Genomic DNA, 18601 nt, shown 5'->3' with positions numbered 1-18601 from the left:
AGAATTGTATAGCATCTATATTTCTAATCCTTAGTTATTTGTATGAACAATTAGAAGTCTGACCTGTTTGGAACTTATTTTGGGGTAAATAGGTTCCCAAGCCTTCTTGCAAAGGACATGCAAATAATGAAAATATGATATTAAGAACCACTCCACTGTTATTAAAATGAAGATGAAAAGAATTAAATCAAAGTCTGCCATAGAATAATTTATAGATACCATATTGAACATTTTCTAAATATGCCCACATTCTTGGAGTGGCAGATAATGTGTTAACATTATAATAAGCATGAGTAAATAAACATTATGCATATTCTCTACTACAGATGAGTATACTTTTCGGCCCTTTTAATGAAGGATGGGGAATAAGCAACTCCCCGTAAGAAGAAGAACAGAAATGGATCCATTTTTGACTTGAAACTTTTATAAAAATAGCTGTATTTAATAATGTTTTACTTATCATGGGTACATTTTTTTTAACTTGTGTTCATAAGGTAGATTCATTCAGCAAAAGAGTAACTGGTACTAGAAGAGAAGTAAGAAATTCATGGCTGAGTTGTAGTTAAACTATATCCGTCTGAAACTCTTTCTCTCTGAGGAAGCTTTTAAAATTATTTTTTCATTTTTCCAGACCTTTTTTCTTGATCTCTGTATTTTCCTCTAAAGCAAAGACTATCAATGACATTCTTAAACTTTGAAAGATTTAGGATGAAGGGAATATTTACCTATATTTTAGAAATAGTGCAATTTTGGAGACTGAGAAGTCTCTCAGGTTATTATCATCAATGTAGAACTTATCAGAGATGACTTTGGCTTTCTAAAGCATCTAAAATAAGCTATAGTATGCCCATGTTCCTGCAGCATTGGACTTACATAATTTCAAATGTTAATAATACCTTTCATGGATGCCTTTACAGGTATGCATAAACAAAATATCTCATTTTTTAAAATCATTCTGCCCTCCATATGAAACTATTGGTCTATTAGATATATTTTTATTTTTTAACTGTTGATTTGAAATTATTATAGATTTACAGAAGGTTGCAAATATAGTACAGAGAGGTCTCTCATACTCTTCACCTAGTTTCCCCAGTGGTTACATTTTTTTTGTAGCTACAGTAAAACATTAAAACCAAGAAATTGACATTGAAAAAATGTGTATGCATACATCTGTCATTTTATTACGTGTAAATTCTTGTGACCACTACCACTATCAAAATATCTAACACTTCTAGTGAAGTGTAAAAATATTATCTCATTGGAAGTTTCTTTACCCATCCTTGTTTATATAATTTTTTAAATTTTTCATTTAGGTATTGATAACCATTTCGATGTTACAGTTTTTGATTCAAAAGTCAAACATAATTTAGAAAACTCAAGAAGAAAAATCTGTTGTACTTACTCATATTGTTGCTCTTTCTGTTACTCTTACATTTTTCTGATGATTTCAGGCCCCTTATTCATTTCATGTTTCAAGAACTTTTTGCTTTTCTTTAGGGCAGGTCTGTTTGCAACCAATTCTTAATTTTTCTTCTGAGAATTTATTTAATTCTCCTTCATTTCTAAAGGACATTTTTGCCTAATACAGAATTCTGGATTGACAGTTCTTGTTTTGCAGTACTTGAGAAATATATCACTTCCTTCTGGCCACCATTATTTCTGACAGGAAATCATTGTCATTCAAATTGTTTTTCTTCTGGAGAGATGAAGCATTGTTTTACCTCACTGTTTCCAAGATTTTTTCTTCTGCTGAAGTTTTCTGAAATTGACCTGTTTCTTTGTTGATTTTTTTGTATGTGTCCTGTTTCAGATTTTCTCATTTCTTGAATCTGTAGTTGTATGTCTTTTGCCAAACTCGAAAACGTTTTGGACATTATTTTTTCAAATATATTTTTAGCCCAACCCACTTTTGCCTTTCCTTCTAGGACTCTGATGACATGAATAGTAGATTTTTTGCTGTAGTCTTATAGGTCCTTGAGGCTCTGTTCTTTTTTTTTTTTTTTTTTCTTCATTTTCAGTCTATATTCCCTCTGGTCTTTGGATTAGTAAATTTTTAATGTCCTATTTTCAAGTTCACTTATTCTTTTCTCTATTTCCTCCATTACGCTGTTGAGCCATCAAGTATTTTTTAAAGTTTCAATTATATTTTTCGGTGCCAAAATTTCTATTTGTCTCTTGGCATCTTCTATTTATTTGTAAAGCTTTCCATTGTTTCATTTGTTTCAGCAATATTCGCAATTGCTCATTAAAACATTTTTATGGTGGTGGCTTTAAAATCCTTGTGAATAAATCTAATTTATGTGTTATCACTGTGTTGGCATGTGTTATCTCATTCAAGATGAGATTTTTTTCTGGTGCTTGATATGCTGAGTAATTTTCAATGTATCTAGGGTAATTTGGATATTATGCTATGAGGTTCTGTATTTTAACTATTGGAAATAAACCTCCTGTGACACCACACATGGTGAAAGTGGGGGTGCCTTGTTATTGCTAGGTGGTGATAAAAATTTATCCCTGCTCAACCACCTTTGGAGAGTGAGGGATTTTTTTCTTGTTTCTGCTCCCACTATGGCCTACACTGAAGGGAAGGCAAACATCAGGAGGCCTTGGACCTTTTTACCACTAGATGATAGTGAAAGTTCCAACTTCTCACTTAGTTTACTTTGACACCTAAGGAATCTGGTGGAGAAGGACGGGGCACATTGTAACTACCTGGTAGAGAAGAAAGTTCTAGATTCCCACACGGCCTTCTCTGATATCACCCAGACATTGATAGGCGGCAGGGCCTGTTAGTTTGTGTGTGTGTTTAAATTACACATTACCAATAGTATCACTTTGCATAAACCTATACTAAACTAAAAGCACGGACCCCACAGAAGATATGTAATTAAAGTTATCTTGTAGTATGCAGGTCTTTTTCACAGATGCATTCAGTGTGTGGTTTAAAAGGAAGTTAAAAGTTTAGTTCTAGTTACCATGCTAGAAGAACTTAATATGTAAAAGATGACATCATCAAAGACAGTGAAAGTCCTCTTTAATGTCTCAAGGCTTTTCATTGTGTATCACGAAATTTTGATTATCTGTTTCTTTTCAGTAAATATTTAGTCTATTTTTCTAAGTTTAATATATTAGGATTTTCATTTTCATTAATCCTTAGTGTTTGTACTACTGATATTTGCACATACAGTATGAGAACATACATTTCAAATGATCATTTTTTAAAAATTTCTTTGAGATATATTAAAAGTTCTATACCATATAAAGGAAAGTTATTCTACTATTCTAAAGCAGCTCATAAAATACAATGTACAAATAGGACAAAATACATACAAGAAGCGGGAGAAACGTTCCTAAACAGCTCCACTGATACAGTGGAGATATAATCTCTCCTCTCTATTGAATGAATTTGCTGAGGGTCGGTGCATATAGTGGTCAATGGAATACAAACCAATAAAAATATGACAGATAAATAGAATGAAAAGTATCCAAGGGTCAAGTGCTAAATCTGTTCTGCTGATTCCAGCTGATATTTCCTTTTCTTCTTTAACCCACATGAAGACACTCTACTAAACAGTCATGTATATCTCAGGCATACTGGTTTTCATTTGTAATTTTCATTTTATTGCACTTTCAATTTTCAGGTTTTGTCCATCTTTCTTCCCCTTGGCCCTTCCATCACTTCTGCTACTTGATGAATTCTGTCTTAAACAGTAGCTAGAATATAAACATTTAATAAAATATTAACCTGATTGCTTGCCCTCCCTATAAACAATAAAATGACATACATGAACAAATGACAAATACAATATTTTATGTTGTGTTTATTTCTACCTTTCTCCGAGGCTTCTTTTAATCTTTATTAAAGTTTATTATAGCAAACTACTATCAAATATTTCCATGCATTTAACCTGTTATTGTAACATCAACACAAGAGAGCAAATGAAACTTGTGAAGCTTATACTTTCTATTGCTCTAAGGTGTCTATGCAGATCATTATGTATTCTTCACCACAGGTCAGTTGCTTAGCGACCAGAGAAGTAGAGAACTACTAATTGAAAGTATTCTGTATTGCTGGCAAGGCTTGCTGCAGGACATTGAACTTGGAAACAGCAGAGACTGTGTCAGATAAAAATGTTGCAGAGGATGAAAGAAAAATAGTTGCAGCATTATCATACTAGGAATGGTTATTATTTACTTTATGATAAATTCTGCAAAATGCTTTGCTGTGCTTCTGTTTTATAAGAAATATTAAAATTGATTTTACTATTAAGGATCATTTACGCAATCAGATTAAAAATCAGAGTTGTGGCATCTATTTTTAAAAAGTAAAACAGAACACAAAGGAGAAAAAGAAGAGGAGGACAAAAGAGAAGAAACAGAAGCAACAGCACTAAGTTAGATCCAGGTCCCTAAAGATAAGTAACAATATCTGTATGAACTTTTCTGATTGCTTATTTTGTAATGAAAACAAAGAAAGAAGAGGATGAGGAGGAAGATGAGGATGAGGAGACTGAGGAGGAAGGCAAGGAGAATAAGGAAGAGGAGCAAGAGGTAAAGGAGAAGAAAAGAAAAAAGAGAGAGATAAGATTATTAAAAATCAAACTAAATACATATTGGAAAAACAATTGAAAAACAAACCAAAAGTAGCAACACTCTAACAGAGCAATAGTATAAACAAATTTATTCAAAGCATTAATTTTATATTAGTCTGTATCAGGCTTTCTAACCTGTACATTATATAAAATTAGGATTATTTTCTCTCTTCTTTCCATGTAATGTACAATTCATGTATCCATCAAAAATAGATGAGTGGTCATTGTGTGACATCTTTCACTTAATAGAAAAGACTAGGTCAGAAAAGAGAAAATGTCCTTCACAAGACCAATACTAAGTTGGCTCAATTTTCCTGATAGCTTATTTGCTACAAGAATTCTGATATAATTCTGTATTTACAGGCTCATTCTCACTCTCTCACAATCCACAGGCATACAAACAAAGTGTGTGTGTGTGTGTGTGTGTGTGTGCGCGCGCACATGCGTTTGACAAAGACAGAGAGAAAAAGACTTGAATAACTGTTTCTTATGAGAATTCATTTGTGGTAATGGTTGCTACTTGTATTTCTATAAAGATTACTCCTAGTAATGATTGAAAAACAGGACATATGTTAATTAAATGTTCAGTGACTTTATAGTTAAATATACATATAATGCACATTCCAAGTTTTTTAAAAAAATAACAATCAATAAATAGCTAAATGTTTTAAATCACAACTGGTCAGAATTTAGTTGTTAATATTCAGATACCATTTCAATATCATGTAGAGTCATTATGAATATCATTTGTCTGCAGTATTCTGAAGATAAAGGTGGTAAAACATGTGTTAGTCAATGGTCTACCTGTTATACAGCCTTTTAAAACAAATCCTTGGCATGAGATTGTCATTTGTCTGTTTCCCATAAAAGCTGAGTGTAGAACATCCTAAAAATCCAGTTCAGCTTTTTTATTCTTGTTACATTTCTGCAGAATTTTAATATAACTTTCCTTTTGTGTATTTATGCCTACTGTTTCTATTTACTTACAGGTGGCTTGAATTTTTTATCCAGAGATAAAGTTAATGCAAGAAAGAATTTAAAAATGTATGGTAGATTATCAAAATTCTTAATTGAAAAAAAGGTCAAATCCACCTTTGCTACAGCCCACAACCTAATCTTATATCTGTTCATCTTTTTTGTCTTTGTTTTAAAAACACATACTTGATAATCATATTAGATGGTTACAGCTTTCTATTGCTGCATAATAAACCAGTCTAAACATAGCAGCTTAAAACAGCTAAGTAGCACAGATGGACCTGCTCATGATTCTTCAATCTGGGCTGAACTCAGCTGGGTGGCTCATCTCTTCCCTAGATGGTGTCTTCTGCTGGACTCTTTAATATGTTTGTATTTAGAGGCAGCTCCATAGGGACTGGAGGATCCTAGCTGGCCCCATTCATATGTTGTGCTGGAATGACTAGAAACTGGGTCTTCCTCTCTATCTTCCCAGTCTTTCATTCCTCCTGGTCTTTTTCATCATAAGGTGTCTCATCCACAAGGACGCTAACCTAGACATCTTTGCACAGTGGCTCAAGGTAAAAGACAGAGTAAACAAAAGCTATAAAGCTTCCTTAAGCCTAGGACTGAAACTTATACAGTGTCTCTTTAGCTGCATTCTCATGGCTCAACTAATTCACAAGGCTAATCTATTGTCTGGTTGGGAGGATAATTCAAGGACATGAAATCAAGGGACATCCATAATTCATTGGGGACTGTTTGGTAAGAATATGAGTTAAGGCTTAAATTTGTTCGAATACAACTGGTTCTAAAGCATCACATTGTTGTATTAGGTTTCCAGGGTTGTCATAACAAATTACAACAAACTTGATGACTTAAAACAACAGAAATTGATTCTCTCACAGGTCTGGAGGCCAGAAGACAAATCAATGTGTTGGCAGTATTGATTTCCACTGGAGACCCAGAAAAAACCCATTTCATGCTGCCAGCAATTCTTAGCGGTTTTTGTCTTTCCAATCTCTCTGATTCTGTCTTCACATGCCTCCCCGCCTTTTTTTCTGTGTCTTTCTGTTATTCTATCTCTTATAAGGACACTCATTAGATTTAGAATTTATTGTAATAGAGGATGAGCACACTTTATTACCTTGTTACATCTTCAAAGATGCTTATTATGAATGAGGTCAGACTGTGAGATTCTGGGTGGACAAACCTTTTGGGCAAACACCATTCAACTCTTACGATTTTCTATCAAAATGTGTAATTTTCTCCCATACTTTTTCAGTAATCTCCACCATAAAGAACTTGGATTTAGAACACTTGGATTCAGTAATCTCCATCATAAAGAACTTGGATTTAGAACACTTTTTTTCCACATGTATTTAAGCAATGTTTCTCAAAGTATATTCCTGAGAAAAGTATTTCAGTTATTCTATGAGTAAAAAGTTTCTTGGTCACGCAATTTTGGAAATTACTGCTTACTATTAACACCTCCTGGATATTTGCTTTGTGCACTAATTTATTAATGAGAAATCATATAGGAAAATATGCTAAAATTTTAGGAAGCACATGTTTTTCCCAAACACCAATAAACACTAAATATCGCCAATTTTATTCAAATGATACCTATCAACACCTTACAGAAAAAGGGTTATGTGTACCAAAGGTCCTGATTTGACCTATTGTGTTGACTACATGATATCTGTTTCAAAATTATAAACAAAATTACCATGAGTATTACTAAACATTTTAGTAATCTGTGCCCTTGCAATTCAGCAAGCCATTTCAACTACCTGGAATTTTCTTTCTCCTTTTTACGGATAACTCCTACTGGTCCTTTAGATATCAGATTAGAGGTTATTTTCCAAAGAAAGCTTTTCTTCACTCCCCAAAGATTCAGTTAGATGTTCTTCCAGTGATTTTTATAGCTCTCTGTTCTTGGTGGTAATATATCACTGAAACACTCTACTGTAATTACCTTGGTTTTTGTTCTTTATTTAGTGTTCAACCATATGCTTGCTGAAGTTTAGAATGTTATTCGTCATTTATATAAAAAAAAGTAATTTATTTACCTAGTTTATCCCAAGATTTATACCGTCAATGCCTTCATTACAAATTAAGGGCTAAAATATATAGTAAGTTCCTGAAGCTCTACCAAATGTTATCTATACTAAGACACAACAGATATTTAATCAATGCTTATTAAATGAATAGATGAGAAAATTTGACATTGGGTAGAAATCCTTTAAAATATTTTGCGTGGAAATCACTTTTTGCTTTCAAAGTAATGTAATTAAAGACTTTCAGTTCCCACAGTTTGCAACAATAATCTTAGGAACTTAACTATTTGTTTTGTGAATATCTAGCACTAAACAATGAGCTAGAAATTTGATAAAACAGTTCAAATAATTTTTAAATCTCTTTGACTCAATTAGTCATGACTGAATTCATTTATACCATTAGGATATTAACACATCTTTTAAAAAACAGTGTTAAATGGAGCTGGTCAAGCTATGCATTTTAAGAAGAAAAAGTACTCTCTTTTTAATAGGCTCTGCATAAGTAAGGCTATCCTCTTTTTCATAGTTTTTCAGAAACAATAACTTTGTCATTTTCTATACTTATTGATAATTTCCCCAACATATTAACAATTAAGAAATAAAGTTATGGCAACCTAATTAGTCGAGTCAATACAGGAAGTAAATTGTTAAGACAGTGGGCATACCATCTTAGTTAGTAAGATATGGACATTCAACCACTCTCTTTCCCTACCCTAAGACACACACACTGTCAGAGAAAATGTTATGATGTGACTGAGAACTTTATGCTCAAAGCTTTTCAAAATTTCATATATAAATATTGTACTTTTATCAATATAAGATTTCACACTGTAAGAAAACATTGGCATAGGAATCATTCTCTTTTACACAGTTTGAAAATGAATTTTAATGACATTCATATCTGATAAATAATATAATGTCATGGAGTAAAAGTTATTTTCTTGATATAAATATTTTATCATTTGAGTATATTCTCCCTGAAATCTAGGTGTCAGTTTAACAAAATGCATTTCTCAGTTCACTGAATATGACTCCAGGATAAATAAAAAAGAACATTCATATTCAAAAAAAGTAATTTATTTACCTAGTTTATCCCAAGATTTATACTGTCAATGCCTTCATTACAAATTAAGGGCTAAAATATATAGTAAGTTCCTGAAGCTCTACCAAATGTTATCTATACTAAGTAGAATTAAATTAAATCATTGTGTTAACTTTTTATTCCTATTAAAGGATTTAGTTTTCTTCTAGTTTAGATATAATAACAAAAGCAAATGTACATCCCTGGTTTCTTGCCAATTATAGCTGGGTCACACCTGCCTAAGTAGTGTTTTATAATAAATACATAGTAAGTAAATTAGTATCCAACCCTCAGGCCTACACGGAATAAATTTGGTGGGGTACTTCTCCCTTGGGAAAAAAATGTTGTTAGCATTTTTTGTTTGCTAGTATCCTTTAGACCTACTACCTATAAAAACCCCTCTAAATGAAGCCTCTGGCAGCATTTCAATAAGCTAACTTCCATAGGTTTCTTCAGTTCATGGGGGTATTTTCCTCCTTTAATTTGCCAGCAGAGATCTGACATGAAAAAGTTCAGGTGCTGTTTTATAATATAAGAAAACATATACATGAGACTCCTTGTTCCTTGTCATAATCACATGTACAGTGCTTTAATTTCAACAAATCATATAGAAAAAAGAAGGTTGGTTTAAGTCATCATCACAAATAAAAAAGCCCATAAACCTACACCTATATTGTGGTCTTGTAATTCACCACTTGGAAGCTTGTAAAACCTAAAACTTAATATGCCTACAAATTTTGAATTTTTTAGAATATACTCAATTTGCTTCTACTTCTTCCATTGGGGTTCATGGCTATCACACATTGTAAGACAGTTAGTAGACCCAGCAGAAATGACTTCAAAATATTTGTGTTTTCTGTGAAAGTTTGAAAATCTGTTGACTCCCTGGTTGTTCTGTTTGGAAGTCTTTTATGCATTGCTTTCCCTTTCTTATTTCTCCTCACACACATACAAGCTCTTTTCTTGCCTATTGTGTGTACTTGGCTGATTTTCTGGGCACTGTGCCCAGTTGGTTTAACGTGTGCTTATTATTGTCTATAGCATTCCTGATTCTGTTTTGGAGATGGGTATTCTATGAATTATTAATGATTATTATCATCCTTTAGAATCAACTTTGCTTTTGGAATTTAGAAACAAAAGATGAACATTGAGCCCTATGGGTAATCACCAGCAATATCAAGGTCATGTCCAATGCTTGACTGTAAGGGAAAGGAATAGTGAATATACTGAAGTGAACAAAACAGGATTATTCCTATAAACAGATAAAATTAACAGAATAAAACTTAAAGTTCAAAATGTATTACTTGAAAAAATGCTCATAATATTATTTTACCATACCCATTTTACCATTTAAATATTACCAGTAGTTTTTTTCCTCAATATCCATTGATAAGCTTATTCTTTAAAAACAGAAGAAGGGAAAGTGCTAGCTTTTTTGCTTCTTATTCACAGGAACTTGTGCACCTGATGTAGTATAGCACATTCTCAAACATCTAATAGGTCACTTCTGAATTTTTCTCTGAATTTTGAATGAGATAAAAGTAATTTGAATTTAGCTATCATTTCAAAGAAGAAAAAAGTTGCATTTGCAAATTATTTACACAAGCACAAATTTTTAGAGAAAGAAATACTAGAGAAAGAAAAACATAGAGGAAAATAGGTGGTGAAAAAATTCTTTGGAAGTGCAAAAGAAAGAAAACGTTTATTGGCAATGACACATGATTATTAATCCCCATGTCTAAGTAAATTTGGGGTCTTTACCCTTGCTATAGTTTGGACATGGGTTATTCTCTCCAAAATTCATGTCGAAATTTAATTTCCCATGTAAGGTGTTAGGAGATCTTGCTTTGAAGAGGTGATTAGGTCATTAAGACAAATTAATAACTTTCTGGTGAAACTGGGTTATTTTTCATGATAATGGATTAGTTCTCATAAGAGCCAGTCATTCTAAAGAAAGTTGCCTCTTTTATTAAGCAATGTTTTGCCTGATTTCCATTTTGTTTCTCTGCCTTGCTGTGACATAGCATGTGGCTCTCATCAGAAGCTCAACAGATGCCAATGCCATAGTCTTGGACTTTCCAGCCACCAGAACCATAAGCTAAATAAACCTTTTTTCTTTATAAATTACCCAGTCTCAGGTGTTCTGTTACAGCAACACAAAACAGACCGAGACAACACTACAGCTGTAATACGTAATATTTTGAAATTAGATTTTAGCTTAGGACCAATACATACCCAATAAAGTGGAACTCAGAAGGTATCACTTAAGAATTGTTAAATAAGTGCCATCTTTTTGTTTTTATACTGAAAAACAAATGTATCGATTCTCAATTATTTTCTCCCTAATGTAACAATAATAACATAATATTGTATTTTCCAAAACCATTCCTCCTTTCTCTCAATTGTATGTATTTTTCCTTTTTTCTTTCTCCTTTTTCTTTTTGGAGTATGATAAATAGTTTTAAATCTATCCTCCTGAAATTGCATCTAGGATTTGGATATATTTTGCTATAAATCTTTGCTTCCTTGGAATAAAAATATTCTCTACATTTTTATTATTCTAATATTGATTCAGCTTTGGAGTTAATTTATATGCAAAGCAAATAATTTACCCAAAGTTGTAAAGAATATGCATTATCAGAACACAACACCTGCAGGACAAAAGAGAGGTTAATTTCATTGTTGCTCCAAAGCAGAAGGAGATCATTATGGAGCCTGCAGTAACCAAGCTCTGTGAAATAGCTGCATTAGTCATTAACTTTCCAGCACTAAATTTCATATCAAACTCAATTAACTACTACATAGCTTTTAATGACAATATTTTTTCAGATGCAGCTCTTGTTTACTAATAAGTTTTCACATCACGACTATCTGTTCCATTACTTCCTCCATGTTAATGAATTCAAGTCTTGATTTTCTCCAAAGAAAATGGGGCAATGAAAATTGCATTTCCTAAAATTCTCCTTGAATTATGTTTTAACATTTCAAGTGTGTTAATGTAATGCTTTAAGAAGCTAAAGGGAACGATTATATAGGAAGCTAAAGTCATCTATGTCTATCCTCGGGATTGATTAAGTTTGCTATTTATACATGTTTCCCCCACAACATTGCTGTGTTGGAATTTATCAGGATAGGAACCATCTAAATTGAAAATGCCCCTTCGTATATTTTTGTCACAGTGAAAGTCAAAGCCTAGAATAACAAAAAGGCACTAAATTAATATCATCAGGAAACAATTTACTCAGCTAATTAGCATAACATTCTTATATAAAAAGACAGATGGATTAAGGGATCAGGTCATTCATAGCCTGCAGCAAACTGCTTCAGTCTTTAATCCCCTGCTGTTACCTATCAACTGGTACTCTTTTTATGGATTTGGACAGATCCCTGGGAAGATTTAGATTCTCCCATTGGACTGATTCACCTTGTTCCTTTAACTTTTTATTGACGATATATTTCATTATTTCCTGACTAAAACAACAGTAAGAACTCTAAATTAGTTAGCAGCTAAAGAATTGAACTAAAGGCGTATGTCCACATTTCTCATATAGTAGCTTCTACAACACACACACACACACACACACACACACACACACACACACGATGCCCTGCAGTGCTAACAAATAGGCTCCAGCTTGAAGACAACCATAGAAGAGTTATATGTGTATATCCTAGTTCAATAAAAATTGGGATTTCATGCTACATACACAACATTCAAGACAATTAGGAATAGCACAGCAACAGCCAGTAGTAACTATGAAAAATATCAAATTCTTTACATCGAAGTAGTCAATCAGCATAGATTATAGATTTCCATGAGTCCTTTGACAAATGTTTCCAAAAATAATGTCTAAGAAAACTATTAGTGAAGATGTTTGATCTATTGTATAGAAACCAAAACCAACAAATGAAAGAAAAGGCCTCTGGGAAAAAAAAATTATTTTAAAGTTTTGGGCTACAGGGAGATAATTTATTTCCTTTTGACTACTGTATTAGCTTTCTAGGGCTGCCATAACAAAGTATCACAATATAGGTGGCTTAAAAAAAAAAACAAACATTTATTGTCTCACAGCTCTGTAAGCTAGAAGCCTGAAATCAAGGTGTTGGCAAGATTGGTTCCTTCTGAAAAGTTCTGACTTAAAGTCCATTCCACGTGTGTCTTCTAGTTTCTGGTTGGTTGCCAGCAATTTTTGGTGTTCTTTGACTTGTGCATGCATCACCCCACTGTCTGCCTCCATCATTACATGGCCTTCTTCCCTATATTTCTTTATGTCTCTCTGTGTCCATATTTTCTTTCTTTATAAAGAAACCAGTCATTGAATTAGGGCCCATCCCATTTCAATATGACCCTGTTTCAAAATAACATCTGCAATAACCTATTTCCAAATAAGGTCACATTCACAAGTATTGGGATTAGTATTTCATTTTGGAGACCCGATTCAACACACAATGACTATAAACAATCAGAATGTTAGTTTATTAATTTATAACAAGAACTATGTTATATAAAATAAAATTCTTACTTCAGCATAAACAGTACATACTTTCCACCCAAACGCACACCTGTATGGGAAAACAAAATGTAGTCACATGATAGCTGGGTATGTATTAGATCAGAAAAATAAAGTTCAATGATTAGAATATTTAACACCATCAAGCTAATATAAATGTGCAGATGCATTTATTTTTATTGTAGGAAGGCTTACCAACTTAATTGGCAATTTCACTTGCCCAGACTTCCTACCTCAGGAATTGGACTTCCACTTAGGTGGAAAAGAGATTTATGCCTTAAAGATTCATCTGTAGCTCAGTTTCCATAGGCAACTAATTCTCCTTTCATTGACAGACTCTTTCTATAGCTATGTTAATAAATTCAGTCCCAACATAGTAAAATCCTCTGACTTTACCCCCCTTAGGTTAGTTTACAGTGCTTCAGAAGGCATTCTTTCTTCTCTTAGTTTTATATATTTATAAAGGGTTATATAAAACTAAGAGGGTTGTATTTTTGTAGCCACCTTTCTGATTATCCCCATGTACTGAGAATATATGTGTGTGTGTGTATTGATACATTTTATTTATATGTGTGTGTGTGTGTGTGTGTGTATATATATATATATATATATATATATATATATGCAAGACTATATGTATATAGTCTTGTCCTATTTGGAGGCCCATTAAAGTATTTTTTCTTCCTATTCTTTTACTTCAACTATGATATACAATTAATTCTGTTATACACACACACACATACACATACATATACACATACATATATGTACGTGTGTGTATACATATGTTTTAATAATCAAAGTTACAATTTATTTTGAACATATTATTTGCCAGAATTTATATGGCATACTTTCAATTCACTAACCTATTTTATCTTTAATATCTAAATGGGATAATTATTATTATTTATTTTTCAAAGATGGGGTAACAAAGGCTTCTGTTACCCCTCAATGTTGCCCATTCTCCACAGACTGTATAATAGAAGTTAAAATTATTTTTGCCCAACATCAAATATCTTGCATCATACTGCATTCCTTTCAGCAACCTGCAATTTCCCTATAACCTGGAAATTTTGAACCTCCATGCCTTCGTGTGTAATATTTTCTGCATGAAAAATGTGTCATTTCAACTTATCTAACTCTTGCTTACTATCTAAGGTAAGGTAGAAGTGCCAACTTTTACAAGGTTTTAGATAAAAGGTGAAAATAACAGTCTCTTGGTCCACACTCACATAGCCCTTTGTTTATATTAAACACCATATTATATTATGCTATTAATAGTCAGCTGTTTATTTATTCATCTCCTTCAGCAGACTCTAAAGGCCATTAGGGACTTGCTAATTCATTTACTAATTAATTAAAGAAATTTGAGGAGAATATCAAGAATAACCCTCTACTTGTTCCCAGCCACCATTCATCACTCACTTTCTTAATTGTTCATTCACAGTGTACATATACAGTGATGTCAGAAATGTTACGCCATACCTCCATGAGAAACAACTTTATTAACTGGAGCACTGTGCTTGTATACACTTCCTTTCACCTTTAATTTTACAGTCTCCTCTCATTTCTGAAGTTACTTATTTCAACGCATTTTTCCCCACCCATCTCAGTGAGGTTGTTTCATATATTTTCAATACAGTTATAATATTTTGTCACACTCTGCATTCCATCTTGCAATCCCTCTACTTCCTAAAGGATAGTTTTTTTTAAAGTTATATAAATTAATGTTTCCTCCTCAAGCTCAAAAACTCTTATGGATTCTGAGAAATGCATAATGTTATGTCCGCCATTACAATATCATATAAAATAGTTTCAGTACAGTAAAAAATTTGTTTTCATGCTTCACATATTTAACCCTACCTCCTCTCCCCTCACCTCTGGAAGCACTAATCTTTTATACTATATTGTTTTGCCTTTTTTACCATGTCATATATTTAGCAATATATAATACGAGTCATTTGCTGACTAATTTCTTTCACAGAGCAATAAATATTGAATATTCATGTATTTATTCCTGTAGATTTATATTTATTTCTTTTTTCTGGATGTACTAGTATATCAATTCACTTATTTAAGGTTTAAGGCCATGTAAATTGCTGTCCATTTTTGATAATTATAAAAAAGAGCTCTGATAAACACTCACATTTTTATGTGATATAAATTGTCACATCATTGGGATAAATACGTAGAAGAATGATAACTGAAGTGCGTGGTGAGACGATATTTAGATTTGTAAGAAACTGCCAATCTGTCTTCCAGTGTGCAGTACCATTTTTAAAATTCCCTTCAGCAAACAGCTACTATTGCTCTACATTTTCACCAGAATTTGTAATACTTCGGTTCATGGATTTAAGCCATTCTAACTAATGTGTGGTAGTATCACAATTGTTTTAATTTGTGTTTCTCTAAAGAAAAAAAATACTGTTGAGCATATTTTTATATGCCAGTTGCCATGGGTATTTCGGGGGCAGGGGTGAAGTGTCTTTTCAGATTCTATGCACATTTGTAATTGGCTTGTTTGCTTTCTTATTATTCAGTTTTCAGAGTTATTTGTATGTTTAGATACCAATACTTTATTAGATATATGGTTTACAGATATTTTCTTCTAGTTTGTGGCTTGTCTTTTAACTCTCTGGAGTCTTTCACAGAGCAGAAAATTCCATTTTAAATTTAACAAACTCTAACATCATTTTTTCTTTTGTAGCTAGAGCTTTTCGTATTAATATTATATCTAAAAATCCATTATCAAACCTAATGTCACTCATTACATGTAAAGCATACTTTCTTTTTCAACTATTCTAGTGGTTCCCCCAGAGTATCCAATACACATTTGTTACTAATCTAAGATCACCTTCAAATAGCACTCCACCAGTTGACATATAGTGCAGGTACCTTAATAAGAAGTGACAGCGTGCTGGCAGCCCTTGCTCGCTCTCCGTGTCTCCTCGGCCTGGACGTCCACTCTGGCCGCGCTTGAGGAGCCCTTCGCCCCACCGCTGCACTGTGGGAGCCCGTCTGTGGGCTGGCCAAGGCCGGAGCCTGCTCCCTCTGCTTGCGGGGAGGTGTGGAGGGAGAGGCACAGGCGGGAACTGAGGCTGCGCGCGGCACACGCAGGGCGGCCCTGCACTCAGAGCGGTCAGGCTGGCGCCACAGGCCCTGGGCAGTGACGGGCTTAGCACCCAGAGCCAGCCGCTGCGGAGTATGCGCCGAGTTCCGCATCACTGCCGGCCCACCCGCTCTAGGCTCGAATTCTTGCCGGGCCTCAGCCGCCTCGCTGTGGGGCAGGGCTCGGCACCTGCAGCCCCCCATGCCCGAGCCTTTCCCCGCCCGCGCCTTCCCCCGTGGGCTCCCCAGAGGCAGGCGGGAGTCTCCCCAACTGCACTGCCCCCTGCTTCGCGGCGCCTGGTCCCATCAACCACCCAAGGGCTGAGGAGTGCAGGCGCCTGGCGTAGGACTGGTGGGCAGCTCCCCCAGCGGCCCCAGCGCGGGATCCGCTAGGCAAGCCAGCTGGGCTCCCCGGTCAGGTGGGGTCTCGGAGAACTTTTGTATCTAGCTGGAGGATTGTATATGCGCCAATCAGCACTCTGTGTCTAGCTCAAGGTTTGTAAACACACCAATCAGCACCCTGTCAAAACAGGCCAATCAGCTCTCTGCAAAATGGACCAATCAGCAGGATGTGGGTGGGGTCAGGTGAGGGAGTAAAAGCAGGCTGCCAGAAGGGACAGTGATAACCGGCTTGGGTCCGTTTCCATGGTGTGGAAGGTTTGTGTTTTCGCTGTTTGCAGTAAATCTTGCTGCACACTCTTTGGGTCCACACTGCCTTTATGAGCTGTGACAACCACCGGGAAGGTCTGCAGCTTCACTCCTGAGGCCAATGAGACCAGGAACCCACCGAGAGGAATGAATAACTCCAGACACGCTGCCTTAAGAGCTGTAACACTCACCGCAAAGGTCTGCAGCTTCACTCCTGAAGCCAGCGAGACCACAAACCCACCAGAAGGAAGAAACTCCGAACACTTCCGAACATCAGAAAGAACAAACTCCAGACACACCATCTTTAAGAACTGTAACACTCACCACTAGGGTCTGCAGCTTCATGTTTGAAGTCAGTGAGACCAAGAACCCACCAATTCTGGACATGTTAATAGAATAGTCCCAGTTCATCCTTCATATCTTTTGTATCATAACCATCAGGCATTTCACTTACCCACATGCTGTAATTGCCCAAAACATTTACTAATATTACTTTCAACAAACATGTAGTTTAAATAGATTTACAATAAGAAAAATATAACATTTTTTTCCTTTTTCAACATACTTGCTTTCTTTTTGTAAATACAGGTTTCTGATCTATATCATTCTTCTCCTCCATGAATAACCTCTTTTAACACAGTTGCAGGAAAGTTTTCTGGCAATATATTCCATTAGTGTTTTATTGTCTAGTAAATTCTGATTTCCCCTCTGCTTTTGAAGTATAATTTTGCTAGATGTAGAATTCTAAGTTGGTGCATTTATTCCTTTAACACTTTAAACATTTCCCGCAACTCTCTCCTTTCTTGCCTGGTTTCTTACTGGAAGTGGGCTGAAATCCTTGGTCTTTTTTTCTCTACAAGGAATGTAGTTTTCATTCCAGATTCTGTCAAGATTTTCTCTGTGTCTATTTATTGATTTATTTTATTTTCTTTTATTCTACATGTAGGAAATGTTACGTCTGGTGCTGTATTTTTGTTGTTTGTCATGAATTGTATTCTCTGAGCTACCTGGACCAGTCGTTTGTTTCATGTTATTATGCTTTAAAATTTCTTGACCATTACTCATTTAGATAGATTCTCCTCATTTCTCTCTTTCTCATCTTTCTGCTATTCCAGCTTCCCATTTTGTACAACTTTAGAAACTGCCCAGCGGGTCTTTGATGTCCTTCACTTTTTTTTTCCATTTATTTTTTCTTGGCACTTTGTTTTAAAATGTATTTTTGACCTATCTTTAGTTTCACCAATTCTTTCCCCAAACATGTCTGGTCTACTAATGAAACCATTGAAAGCATTTTAAAAAAATCTATTGGAGTTATTTTAATTTCTAACCTTTTCTTTTGGTTCTTTGTTAGAATTTTCATCTGTCTGCTTATACTAATCATCTTTTATTGAATATTTTCTACATTTTCCACTAGTGTCCTTAACATCTTAATCATAGTTATGTAAAATTTCTTGATTGCTATTTCCAAAATATGCATCATCATCACTGAGTCTTGTTCTGATGATCATCCTGTCTCTTCAGATTGTTAATTTTTTTCTTGCCTTTTACCATGTTTTGTAATTTTGTTGCCATTGTTGAGAGCCAGACATGTGGTATCCATAATAGATACTGAGATAAATTGATGCTGAGATAAATTGATACTGAGAT

At 34.4% G+C, this 18601-nt stretch overlaps 1 long non-coding RNA gene across 1 annotated transcript; it reads right to left on the bottom strand.

Moving 5' to 3' along the window:
- Positions 1 to 3280: 3280 nt before the first annotated feature.
- On the bottom strand, positions 3281 to 16222 carry LOC107985916 (uncharacterized). Its single transcript, XR_001739599.1, has 3 exons — positions 16094 to 16222; positions 13211 to 13250; positions 3281 to 3714 (listed from the first exon to the last, which is right to left on the bottom strand). It is a non-coding gene; the product is annotated as an uncharacterized LOC107985916 (long non-coding RNA).
- Positions 16223 to 18601: the final 2379 nt, after the last annotated feature.

Source organism: Homo sapiens, chromosome 2 (assembly GCF_000001405.40).
Source record: "Homo sapiens chromosome 2, GRCh38.p14 Primary Assembly".
Lineage (NCBI taxonomy): Eukaryota > Metazoa > Chordata > Mammalia > Primates > Hominidae > Homo > Homo sapiens.
This window is presented reverse-complemented; position numbering and strand designations above follow the sequence as displayed.